General features: G+C 37.9%; 1 protein-coding gene across 6 annotated transcripts in view, besides 1 other annotated feature; it reads right to left on the bottom strand.

Annotated features, from left to right (window-relative positions):
• The window catches only part of LYPLAL1 (lysophospholipase like 1), a 271,619-nt gene that overhangs the window by 37,994 nt on the left and 219,706 nt on the right, over positions 1-13,919 (bottom strand). The window lies entirely within an intron of this gene.
• Positions 7,502-8,131: an enhancer, noted in NCBI's record as "H3K27ac-H3K4me1 hESC enhancer chr1:219572714-219573343 (GRCh37/hg19 assembly coordinates)". NCBI's record gives its function as "activates a minimal SCP1, AML or CMV promoter by ChIP-STARR-seq in primed H9 embryonic stem cells {active_cell/tissue: H9 hESC(primed)}" and the evidence as "EXISTENCE:reporter gene assay evidence [ECO:0000049][PMID:30033119]".

Below are 13,919 nucleotides of genomic sequence, written 5' to 3'. Positions count from 1 at the left end.
TATTCATTGATAACATTACATTTATTATTATCACATAAACCATACCTCCTGTTTATGAAGCACTTATGGTGTTTTAGTCAATGTTATGGTACCTGCTATATATGGTCTCTAATTTTATTTTAACTTCCTATAGTAAACAATATTAGGTGCTAACTCAATAGTCATTTTCTAACCTGATTTTTCCTTGCAAACAGAACCCCAAATTTGTTTGGAGAGAAATGTGTCCAAATCCAAACAAAGCATCACCATTTCTTTGAACCATCATAAGGATCTAATCATTTTTTTTGTTTTCCTAGCCTCCCTCTAGCCAGAGATACTGGGTAACACAGTTCTGGCTGAGAAGACAAGAGAAGAAATCTGCTAAGCATTTCTGGAAAAAGTTTTGATTTGCTGATGAAAGGGAACAGACATACTGGTTGCCTTCCTTTTCCCTTTCAGCTGCCTAGTCGCCATTTTGCAATGTGAAACAACATCATTAAGGAAAGATCAAAACAATTGCAGAGATGTCAACCATCATGCCTTTGAATTCATGCTCACAGTTGTCTGCCTCCAGATTCAGTTATATTTGAGGTACTCTTTGAGTTAAGATCCTTCTCATTTTATACCACTTGCAGCTGAACACACTCCCCACTAATTTACCTTGTAAGGTGAATTTCACTTAAAGGAAGAACACATAAGTCAGGGAATGACACATAATAGTAAATGCAGGGTTTTTTTTTCTATTTATGATATAGATTTATACAACTGCTATGTTCTTGACATTGTACCAATTTCAAGGTACAAATAAGACATAATCCCTAAAAGCATGGGTTACAAAATCTGGGTTCAGCATAGGGTTTCATGATAAACAAACAAACACAAATTGTTTTTTATTGTATTTCCTTCTTCTTCACATCTTGTGAATCTAAGAAAAATATCAGAATGTTCGTTTCAGCTCAATTTTTGAAGAGTACAATCTCTAAGTAAAAAGAAACTGTAAATGTTTATAAATGTAACTAGAGCCTAGTAGAAAATAAAGCCATGCAAGTGTGTTTAGGTCCTAATCTTATTAACCAGATTAGTGACACACAGTCTGCCCAAAGTTAATGAAAGCAGTGAGGTTCTTTGACTTCAGTAGATACACACCTGAACCACAGAGATAAACTTGCTTCAAACCTGTGCGATATGTTTTTCTAAGCATAAAATTGAGCATGATAGCTCCAATTTCAGTCTCAGTTTCAAAGCTTCCCTTTCCCGAATAAGAGGCAAACTGTCACATTAAATTTAGCGAATTAAAATCAGTTAACTTGAAAAGCTCTTGGCCCCAATGCAGAGAAAATTGTTTGCATAATAATAACTTATTTCCTTTTTTAAAAGGCGGACTTCTGCCTGAATGCTTCTATAAACTTTTAAGAAAATGGGATTCTCAAATCTCAAGCGTATTGGGTTGCAGTTGGCACTTGAAGCTGGGGACATGCAGAGCTGGCTAATGTCAGCAGCTGTAGGACTGTCAAGAAAAATAGGTGGAAGGGACACTTTTATTATAAGTAGACTTGCAAGGCATTCCAACTTTCAGCTGCTCAACCCAGTATACCAAACACCTCTGACTACCTCAAGTGTGGCCTTGCTGAGTGCTTCCATATTTAGGGGTTATTAGACAGGACTGAAGCAAGTGACCTCTAATGAGGAAGCAATCAGGGCAGGCTCTGACCCTCCTCAGAGGTACTGTAATGAACTGGCCTTGGAAGGTCTTTGATGCTGCCTTTGCATACTGTATATGAGCTTTCTGCTCAGTCATTTCCTCTGCGCTCTGGTAGCACAGCATGAAGCCTGCTATTAGAAAAAAGGTTTATTGCTACCTTGCAAACATTTATTGGGTAATATCTAAAACATGGTGTCAAGTTATAGTAATGCGCTGTTCTGGGAAACTTTTTGAGAATTTTAGTGTTTCAGAAGATGGTCCTTTGAGAATTCTTCTGTTTCAGAAATGAAAAGTGGTAGATATATACGTGTGTGTGTATAATATGCTCATGTATCCTCTGATTACTTGCCAGAGATGTACCATTTTTCTTTCAAGGGAAACATCTATTCCTAAGATAGATTATTCTTGAAATTTTCAAAGAGTATGCCTCAGAGAACAAATATACAAATTTACCATTTGTCTGCAGATATTATTTGCCTGTGTTTATGCTAGGTCACTGACACCACACACATTTTAATCCCCAAGGGAATTTATTTGGTGGTGTTATCTACTCAACCAAGCTGAAGCTTATCTAGTTCACAAGAAAATAGTCAATATGAGCTCCATGCAGACTTATGCTGTTAATGCAGAAGAGGGAAAGAGAATTTACCTTTAACTGTTATGATGAAAATGTGTACAATGACACTTAACTATGGCATGCAAATCCTCTTTTCCTCCCCCACAGGTATCTGGAAAGTACCTTATACAGCTAGGTGCTTAGAAAATGTTTATTGATTAAATAGATGATGATTAACAGATTAATAAAAGGTGAAAGTTACTATCTATGCATTTTTTTCCAGTTTGATGTTCAAAAACTTACCAATGGATGGGGAGTTGCTTTTCATAAACAATTTATAAAGCACTGTCCTGGATGAAATTGTAAAAAGGACGTGGTGTCAAAGATGACTCAGTGGAGTTGAGGTGAAAAATGTGTAATGAGCAAATCATGGTAATTGGGATATCCATCACCTCAAACCCTTATCATGTCTTTGTGTTGAGGACATTTCAAATCTTCCCTTCCAGCTATTTTGAAATATACAACAAATTATTGTTAAGTGTAGCCACCCTAGTGTGCTACTGTACACTAGGACTTACTTATTCCTTCTATCTAACTGTATTTTTGAACCCATGAACCAACATCTCTTTGATTTCCAGCCTGGGCTTTGGTGTCCCTTTTTTTGTGTGTTTTCATAGGGCCCTATATTTATATTATTTGGGCTCAACACATTGCAAAACTGCAGAGGAGTTTACTATTATGCACATTATTATTCTATATTCTGTCACTCTAAGAAACAATAAGTGACCATCTGAAGAGACCATCTTCTAGCACCAAAATATTTAAAGATGATTAAGAATAAGACAAGGGTCTCCTTATTTACAAAATGACATAATTGAAAGGACTAGATTATTAGCAACCCCTCTGGAAAAGGATTACTCTTTTGGATTTTAATTACATAACTAATATATCAACTGAAGTGCTATGCCCTGACGTGTGCTCCCCTCAGCTTCACGATCCATATGTTGAAACCCAACCCCTTAATGTGATGGCATTTGGAGATGGGGCTTTGGAGATATTAGTTAGGTTTAGATAAGGTCATGAGAATGGGGCTCTTATGATGAGATGAGCACCTTCATAAAAAGAGACACGAGGTATTTCTCTTTTCTCTCTTCTCTCTCTCCCTCTTTCCCTCCCTCCCTCTCTCCTCCTTCTCTGTCTTCCTCCTTTATGTGAGGACATAGCCAGAAGGCAGCTGTGTCTGCAAGCCAGGAAGAAAGCCCTCACCAGGAATCAACTATATCAGCACCTTGATCTTGAACTTCTATCCTTAGAACAGAGAGAAAATGAATTTCTATTCTTGAAGCCACCCAGCCTACGGTATTTTGTTATGGCAGTCAAGCTGAATAAGATATATATCTACACTGAGACCATTAAAAGTAGTTCCTGATTGGCAGAAAGGTTGTATATATAAATGGCTCATTGAAAGTTCTCACTGCATGGATGAGAAATCTCAGATTGAGGTTCTTAAATTTTGAAAAATAGAAATAAAGGAATTAACGCAACAGTCTTCTAATCTTTCTGCCTTCAGTTTTTGCTCCCTTTGACTATTCTCTGTACACTGCATCCAGAGGTTATATTTTGACAGGGAAATTCAAATGATGTATATTATTTTTCTACTCAAAATCTCCCCACTGGCACCCTATTGTCCTAAAGCATAAACTGCTATTGCAGTCAATTCACCTGAAATAAGCTCTCTTCCTGCCGCGTCTTTTACATAGATTGTTTACTCCTCTTGTGATCCCAGTTCCCTGCTTCTCCCTCTCCTCCACACTTTTCAATAATTAAATTATACTCAGCGTTCAGAATTCAGTCAGGATATCCTACCTTCTTTGGTCAGCCCCCCAGGGTTTTCTGAAAGCTGGGAAGAGGCCCTCTTCTGCAATCCCCATGCACTGTAGACACATCCCCTTTAGGTCCCTATGTTGTGAGTGACTGTTTTCTTGTCTGTCTCTGCCACTATATTATGCACTCTTAGAAGGCAAGGACTACTTCTCTTCATTGTATACCTAGAACTTAACCCAAAAACTGGCATGTGCATGCACCCAAGTTTTCACTGAGAAAATAATTGCATGAGTCACTTGCTTTCCAGGTCTTTCTGACTACTATGATGGTGATGACTTGTAGTCACAACATGAAATTGGTTTCTGCCCCTGAGGATTGTATCTCTCTACTTTGCATGACCCCTAGATTTCAATCCCTCTTTATTCTCTCCTGATCCTTGGGTTCCAGTAATTCTCTGGGTTTCAAATATAAGCACAGTGTGAGGAGCTCTTCATTCTTGACAGAACTTTCAGGCAAGAAAGAAATAGATTCCTGGGAATATCTATATTCCCTCTGGCCCTATTCCTTACTCCCAAAACATAATAACCCTTTTCTTAGGTTTTTTCTCTCTACCTTTTTACTTCTTCCTTATTCTCACGATTACATGAATTAACTGCCTACAGAGTATGAATTCAGACTGAATTAATATGTATTTATGTGACATAAAAGATCTCTTTCAGTACTTCTTAATCTTACCAAATGATGCATACTATACAATAAAAAATTGCAATTTTTTCATTAGCTTTTTTTTTTTTTTTTGGTTTCTGGTAGGGTTTTCCTTTAGTGGTATTTTAGCAAGTAATACAATCCAGTTATTTTTAAAAGTATATTAGTAGAAACTCACCAGAAGTCAATATACTGGTCCAAGAATAATTAACTGATTGACTTTATTGTTTATGAAACTTTGTAATGTTCCTTTTGATGTGAATGCTTATCTTAGGGGGAAATGCACTTTTCAAATATAAATGATCATGTTTAAACAAACTGCTTCTAGTTTCAAATATGGCACTGAAAAACAAAATAAAATAAACACTCAATTTTTATTTAAAATGGTGGGCAATTTACTTTCTTTTTTGTTTGGGATCTGATTCAAGAGCCTCAATTCAGCTTATTGCAGAACTAACTAAACTAAACCTCAAAGGAAAAATTTTAAAAATGATTTTTATAGCAATGACATCATTATATAAAATGTTGGCATTTCATATTTTCCAAACAGAAACTTGGAAATAACAGAATACAAGTTAAATAAAACAAATTGAAACTAATCCAATTCTCTGTTTTTCTTTCCCTTTTTAAAAACCAAGCTTTTTATTGCCAGCTTTTACTTTGCATAATAATATATGATGAATTGTCCAAGAAAGACCCAGTGGGTACATTTCTCTTAGAAATAAGCCTCTCTATGCAATAGGAGGCCAAGTTCTAGGGCAACATACTTATATAATCATGTAAGATTTTCCTTATTGCTAACAATTGACCAACCTGGGCATTTGTCAAATATGTAAACACATGGAGGTCACTGGTCACCAGAGGATTGAAAACACAAATCACTCTATTCATATCCATCCCTAGTTCTAGAAAAACAATACCAAATTAAAGCATATATCCTACTAGCAATAGGACTAGCAAAATTATTTTGGTATACCAGAGCTACATGTTATACATTTTGCTACTTATGGATTTAATTACTCAGGATAATTATACACATGGCTACAACTGTAAACTTTATAATATTTTGCTGGCATACCTTCCAAAAGAGTTTGAAAAGCTATGAATTTAATTCTATATTTGCATTTGACATATAAAGTACTTCATTGTAATTTGAAATAGTAGTCAAAGATATAATTTTCATTATAAATATTACTATTTTATAATTTTATAAAATTTATCACAAAAATTGAAACACTTTTATAAATAGATATCAAATAGAAAAATAAAAATATTATTGAAAATGTATCTCTTGATAGATGTATGGGATTTCCTTTCCCCAATTATTCACTAACACATGAATGAATATGTTTTATTGCAAGAAGGAGGCAGGGTTAAGTGGCAATTAAAAAAAGAAAAGGCATTAGGCTACTACCTAGCATGGGGCTTATAAACATTATTAAGAATTTTTGTTAAGAGCATTACTTACAGGAGAATTTATCATTTATTTGTAAGTTTTGCCAAATAAATAAACAGTATTAATCAACATACAGTAGTGATAAATTAGCAGATCAAAAATTGATGAGAGCAATTTGTGAAAAAATTATTGAAAATGTTTTTGGAGCCTGAATAAATAATTAGAAAAAACAAAATGTTAACTAACCCCACTATATATTTCTTTTATCTAAAAATGTAATATTGATTTATAAGAAATAATAATAAAACTTCTAATCTCTTCTTAAAATCATGTAAAATATACAACTGAGATATAGACTGAGATACAAGGTAATTGAGAATATTCATCAAACCCTTTTTTATTGGATATGGGAAAAATAAAGAGATGGTGTGTTTTGCAGTAGAGTGAAATTTTCCAGCATGCTTTTTAATAAACTTTGAATATTCCAATCATTAGATAGATAGCTAGATAGGCAGACAGATAGATAGATAGATGATAGACAGGCCGGGTGCAGTGGCTCATGCCTATAATCCCGGCACTCTAGGAGGTTGAGGCAGGTGGATAACTTGAGGTCAGGAGTTCAAGACCAGCCTGGCCAAAATGGTGAAACCCCACCCTGTCTGTACTAATAATACAAAAATTAGCTGGGTGTGGTGGTGACCACCTGTAATCCCAGCTACTCGAGAGGCTAGATACAAGAATCATTTGAACCTGGGAGACAGAGGTTGCAGTGAGCTGAGATCGTTCCACTGCATTCCAGCCTGGGCAACACAGCAAGACTCTGTCTCAAAAAAAAAAAAAAGATAGATAGACAGATAGATAGATAGATAGGGCACACAGCTTTGCCATGAGTTTACTGCCTGGGTGAAATCAGGCATTGGAGGCTACAGAATTTCTTATTGATGATATTTGCTTTGCTTCCATAGATTTATCACTCTGGGTGACACATTCTTTAACAATAGTTGTAGTATGAAAAAGGAGATATTTAAACAAAAATTTACATTGAGAAAGGGCAAGATGGCCAACTAGATGCTGCCACATGGAACAGCTGCCACCAAAGGGCTGAGACAACTGGTGCACTCCTAACAGATCTTCATCAGGAAGGCACTGAGAGTGGTCAGAGGGAAGATGCAGAAGCTGGGCTGAAGGGGAAGGAAGCTGGGAACCCCGCACGACGATACTGTGCATCAGGACTCATTCCTGGTCCCCAGTGACTCTGGGGAAATAGGTGAGTGGAACTGGCAAGAAGCAACATGCTCTTACCTTGGACCTCTGGAATCCCTGCAGGAAGAGACCCCTTGACCACCACAGACACTCCAGTTGGCAGGGAGAGCTGCTTAGAGAAGTGGTAGGGTCAGCAAGCCAGCTGATGTAGAGACCAGCGGGTTTGGTGTGGGAGCATCTGTAGCAGAGCATGGCTAGGGATGGCCAAACCCCTGGGCTTAACTTGCTCCAATAGGAGACTTTAACCCTAGCAGAACTGTCGGACCTGAACTCTACTGGGCAGTCTTGCTCATCAGATGGGGCTGGTCTGACCGACCTGAGCACCCCTTAGTCCTGGCCTCTCCTGGGACCCCACCTTGTCTGTGTTTGTGTGCAGAGCAGCCTCGGGTGCCTGGGGGCCCACATTATAGCTCCTGGGCTGGCATACCATAGTACCTGATCAGTGGAGAGCTCCATCAGGGTGGCCCCCATAGCCATGCACCAACCCCCCTGCTCCCTCTTACACTGCAGCTTTGCTGGGCCCCACAGCAAATCCCCACATTGCTTCGCCAGCGCATGGGTAGATTTTGCCTTCCTTGCTCCACCAGCATGTGTGACTGGATGCACCCTGACCTGCCACTTCTGTGGCAGGAGTGCAGTCCATCCCCCTTATCCTGGCAACTGCCATTGCAATTAGACCCTTGTTTGGCACAGAGCCACACCCCCACCAGTGCCCTGGCCTTGCACCAACACTGCCATGGGAGTGAAACTAGGTACAGAGAACAGTGGACCCTCCCTGGACCTGAGTCACCACCCCTGTCTGTAGTACACTGAGAATGCACACAGACCTGTGCCCACCAGTGCCCCAACCCTGTGCCAATGCCTCTACCAGTGTGACTGTGTGCACAGTCACTGGGAGGCCCCCCCGCCCCAGCTCACTGAGCCATGTTGCTTCCACCACTGTGGTGAACACCCACATGGAGGCAGGCACCCCCACACCCACTAGCACCCTGCTGCAGCCAACAAGGGTGCCCCTCCCTGCACTGCTACTGCTGCTGCTGCTGGCATGTGCAAATGAGGACGGATCACACTGTCACTGCACTATGAAATGCTTTGGCTGACACCATCCATTGGAGTGTAGTGACTAGCAGTCTGGGAGCACCTCAGGCCACTCAGCACAGTGGATTCCTAACATCAAGAGGCCAGAAAACAAAGACAGGGCACAATAAAAGTCATCCAGAGTTAGAGCATGCAGTCCAGGAGTTGGGAACTCAGCACTGGCCCCCTAAAATCTTTCAGAAACTAAGCCAGTTGGATGAATTCACCTTATACCATAATCAAACCCTCGAGGTCATCGAATAGGATAATAGAAAAACAATTCAAAGGTTAACAACTTCAAAGACTGAAGGAACATCAGCCCTTAAAGATGAGAAAGGACCAGTGCAAGAACTCTGACAACTCAAAAAGCCAAAGTGCCTTCATTCCTCCAAATGACCACACCATCTCCTCAGCAAGGGTCTGAACTGTGCTGAGGTGGCTGAAATGACCAAAATAGAATTCAGAATATGGATAGGAATGAAGGTGATTGAGATGCAGGAGTACATTGAAACCCAACCCAAGGAAGCTAAAAATCACAATAAAATGATGCGGGAGCTGACAGACAAAGTAGCCAGTATAGAAAAGAATGTAACCAACCTGTAGTGCTAAAAAACTCATGGCAAGAATTTCATAATACAATCACAAGTATTAGTAGCAGAATAGACTAAGTGGAGGAAAGAATCTCAGAGCCTGAAGACTGTCTTTCTGAAATATGACAGTCAGACAAGAATAGAGAAAAAAAGAATAAAAGGGAATGAACAAAACCTCTGAGAAATAAGAACTCATGTAAAGAAACCAAATCTGTGACTCATTTGTGTCCCTGAAAGAGATAAGGAGAGAATAAGCAACTTGCAAAACATATTTCAGGATATCATCCATGACAACTTCAACAACCTAGCTAGAGAGACCAGGAATTAAAATTCAGGAAATGCAGTGAACTTCAAAGCTACTTCACAAGAAGATGATCCCCAAGATACATAATCATCAGATTCTCCAAGGTCAAAATAAAAGTAAAAATATGAAAGGTAGCTAAAGAGAAGGGGCAGCTCATCTACAAAGGGAAGCCCATCCAACTAACAGCAGACCTCTCAGCAGAAACCTTACAAGTCAGAAGAGACTGGGGAGCAATATGCAACATTTTTAAAGAAGAAAAAACGAGCCAGAATTTCCTATCTGGCCAAACTAAGATTCATAAGCAAAGAAGAAATAAAATCCTTTTCAAACAAGCAAATGCTGAGGGAATTTGTTACCACCAGACCTGCCTTTCAAGAGCTTCTGAAGAAGCACTAAATATAGAAAGGAAAGATTGTTACCAGCCACTATAAAAACACAAATAAATACATGAACCAGTGACACCATAAAGCAACCACATAAACAAGTCTGCATAATAACCAGTTAACATCATGATGGCAGGATCAAATCCACACATATCAATACTAACCTTGAATGTAAACAAGCTAATGCCCCAATTAAAGGGCACAGAGTGGCAAACTGGTGCACAAAGAGCTGGTACAATTCCTACTGAAATTATTCTAAAAAAAACTGAGGAGAAAGAATTCCTCCCTAACTCATCCTATGAGGTCAGCATCACCCTGATACCTAGCAATGACAAAGCAACAAAAAAAGAAACCTTCAGGCCAATATCCTTTATGAACATTGATGCAAAAATCCTCTACAAAAAATTGGCAAACTGAATCTAGCAGCACATCAAAAAGATTACCCACCATGATGAAGTAGGGTTTATCCCTGGAATACAAGGTTGGTTCAACCTATGCAAATCAATAAATGTGATTCATCACATAAACATAGCTAAAGACAAAAACCACATGATTATCTCAACAGATGTAGAAAAGGCCTTAAATAAAATTCAACACTTCTTCATGTTAAAAACTCTCAATAAACTAGGTATTGAAGAAACACACCTCAAAATAATAACAGCCATCTATGACAAATCCATAGCCAACATCATACTAAATGGGCAAAACCTGGAAGCACTCCCTTTGAAAACAGGCACAAGACAAGGATGCCCTCTCTCACCACTCCTACTCAACATAGTATTGGAAGTCCTAGCCAGAGCAATCAGCAAGAGAAAGAAATAAAGGCATCCAAGTAGGAAGAGAGGAAGTCAAACTATCCCTGTTTACAAATGACATGATTCCATATCTACATGTCCAAATTCCACAGTCTCGGCCCAAAAGCTCCTCCAGATGATAAACAACTTTATCCAAATCAGTGCACAAAAATCACTAGGATTCCTAAACACCAACAAGTCAAGGGGGGAGCAAAATCAGAACACAATTTCATTCAAAATTGCCACACATACTTAAGTAAAATACCTAGGAATACAGTTAACCAGGGAGATGAAAGATCTCTACAAGGAGAACTACAAAACACTGCTCAAAATAAAAAGAAAATCAGAAAAGACACTAACAAACGGAAAAATATTCTATGACCACAGATAGGAAGAATTAGTATTGTTAAAATGGCCATACTGCCCAGAGCAATTTATGGATTCAATACCAATGACATTCTTCATAGAACTAGAAAAACCTGTTTTAAAATTCATATGGAACCAAAAGAGAACCTGAATAGTGAAAGCAATCCTAAACCAAAAGAACAAAACTGGAGGCATCACATTATGCAATTTCAAACTATACTACAAGACTACAGTAATCAAACCAGCATGATACTGGTACAAAAAGAGGTACATAGACCAATGGAACAGAATAGAGAGCCCAGAAATAAGGCCACACATCTACAACTGTCTTATCTTCGACAAAGAAGACAAAAAACATCAATGGGGGAAAAAGACACCTTATTCAATAAATGATGCTGGGATAACTGACTAGCCATATGCAGAAGATTGAAATTGGACTCCTTCTTTTTTTTTTTTTTTTTGAGATGGAGTCTTGCTCTGTCACCCAGGCTAGAGTACAGTGGTGCAATCTCGGCTCACTGCAAGCTCTACCTCCCAGGTTCACGCCATTCTTCTGCCTCAGCCTCCCAAGTAGCTGGGACTACAGGTGCCCGCCACCATGCCCGGCTAATTTTTTGTATTTTTAGTAGAGACGGGGTTCCACTGTGTTAGCCAGGATGGTCTCGATCTCCTGAGCTCGTGATCCGCCTGCCTCGGCCTCCCAAAGTGCTGGGATTACAGGTGTGAGCCACCGCATCCAGCCAAAACTGGACCCCTTCCTTACACCATATGTAAAAATCAACTCAAGATGGATCAAGGACTTAAATGTAAAACCCAAAATTATAAAAATCCTGGAAGACCACCTAGGCAATACCATCTTGGATGTAGGAACAGCTAAAGATTTCATGACAAAGACTCCAAAAGCAATTGCAACAAAAGCAAAAATCGACAAATAGGACCAAATTAAACTTAAGAGCTTCTACACAGTAAAAGAAACCATCAACATCTTAAACAGACAACCTACAGAATGAGAGGAAATTTTTGCCAACTATACATTTGACAGAGGTCTAATATCCAGCATTTATAAGGAACTTAAATATACAAGAGAAAAACAACCCCACTAAAAAGTGGGCAAAGGACATAAACACACTTTCCAAAAGAAGACATACATGTAGCCAACAAGCATATGAGAAAAAAAACACAATATCACTGATCATTAGAGAAATGCAAATCAAAACCACAATAAGATACCCTCTCACACCAGTCAGAATGGCTATTTGAAAAAAGTAAAAACATAACAGGTCCTGACAAGGTTGCCTAGAAAAAGAAATGCTTATAGACTGTTAGTGAGAGTGTAAAATAGTTCAACCATTATGGAAAACAATTTGGCGATTTCTCAAAGACCTAAAAACAAAACTACCATTTGACCCAGCAATCCCATTACTGGGTATATACCCAAAGGACTATAAGTGGCTATCTCATAAAGACACATGCACACATATGTTCACTGCAGCACTATTCACAGTAGCAAAGACATTAAATCAGTTTATATGACCCTCAGTGGTAGAGTAGATGAAGAAAATATGGTACGTATACAACATGAAGTGCAGCCATAAAAAGAATGAGATCATGCCTTTGCAGAAACATGAATGAGCTAGAGGCCATTATCCTTAGCAAACTAATGCGGGAACAGAAAGTCGAATACCACATGTTCTCACTTATAAGTGGAAGCTAAATGATTAGAACACATGAACACATAATGGGGAACAACAGACACTGAGGCCTATTGAAGGGTGGAGGGTGGGAAGAGGGAGAGTATCAGGAAAAATAACTGATGAGTACTAGGCTTAATGCCTGGGTGATGAAATAATCTATATAACAAACCCCTGTGACATACATTACCTATATAACAAACCTGCACATATACCCCTGGACTTAAAATAAAAGCTAAAAGAAAGAAACATTATACTAAATGAAATAAACCAGTCACAAAAGGAAAAATATTGTATGATGTCACATGTATGTGGTACCCAGTGTAATTAATTCACAGAGACAGAAAGTAGAATGGTAGCTGCCAGGGGTTAGGAGAAGGGGTGATGGGGAGTTCTGGTTTAATGGGTACACAAGTTCCATTTGGAAGATGAAAGAATTTTGTGAGTGGATGATGGTGATAGCGGCATAACCATGTGAATCTCTTTAATGCCACTGAACTGTACACTTAATAAAGTATTATGTATCTACAAAAATAAAAGGCTGGTACTCTTTAAAAAGTTAAGATTTTTTGTGATGCCACTATGTAATTGTACAAATATTTGAATTCATAACATTTTGAATTCATAAGATTTCAACAAAGGCTTAAAAAACACCTTTAAATAACTTTTATCTAGACAAAATTATTCCTTCTTTTAACAAAAACATATCCTCATATCTCATGTTACTTTTACACTTGTATTCAGAATTGCTTATCTTATATCTAGTAGTTTTAATTAAATATATTAATTGTAATTTTAACTCTTTGTAACCATAAATTTTCATGAGAAATGTAGGAAGTAAGCAATTTTAATTAATACATATATACAAATAAGCAATTTTAATTAATACATATATACAAAAACATAAAAACATTTTATAATTTTTAGAAACACAAGTTTTTTTCTAGTAGAACATATTTTTCATGTGAATCAGTATTTACTAGCAAACCCAAATATCTTTAGTCTTTTTATAAATTTTAAAAAGCCAAAAGTGACAAACTTGAACCTATGTTTAGTGATCAATGTTTCAGTATTTTATCTTACTTAGAAGCAACTTGGACATGTCATGATTGTCTATTGCCCGATTTAACATAATATGACTTATGATTTTAAATTACTGAAAAACAGTTTTGAAATGACATTTATTTGTAAGCAACTATCTCATTTCCATTTACCCAGTTTACTCATTATTAACAGTTATATTTGAGTTGCTCATGGAAAACAAAGTTAGCCACTTAAGTTATTTATTT

The sequence above is a fragment of the Homo sapiens genome, chromosome 1, assembly GCF_000001405.40.
Source record: "Homo sapiens chromosome 1, GRCh38.p14 Primary Assembly".
Classification (NCBI taxonomy): domain Eukaryota; kingdom Metazoa; phylum Chordata; class Mammalia; order Primates; family Hominidae; genus Homo; species Homo sapiens.
This window is presented reverse-complemented; position numbering and strand designations above follow the sequence as displayed.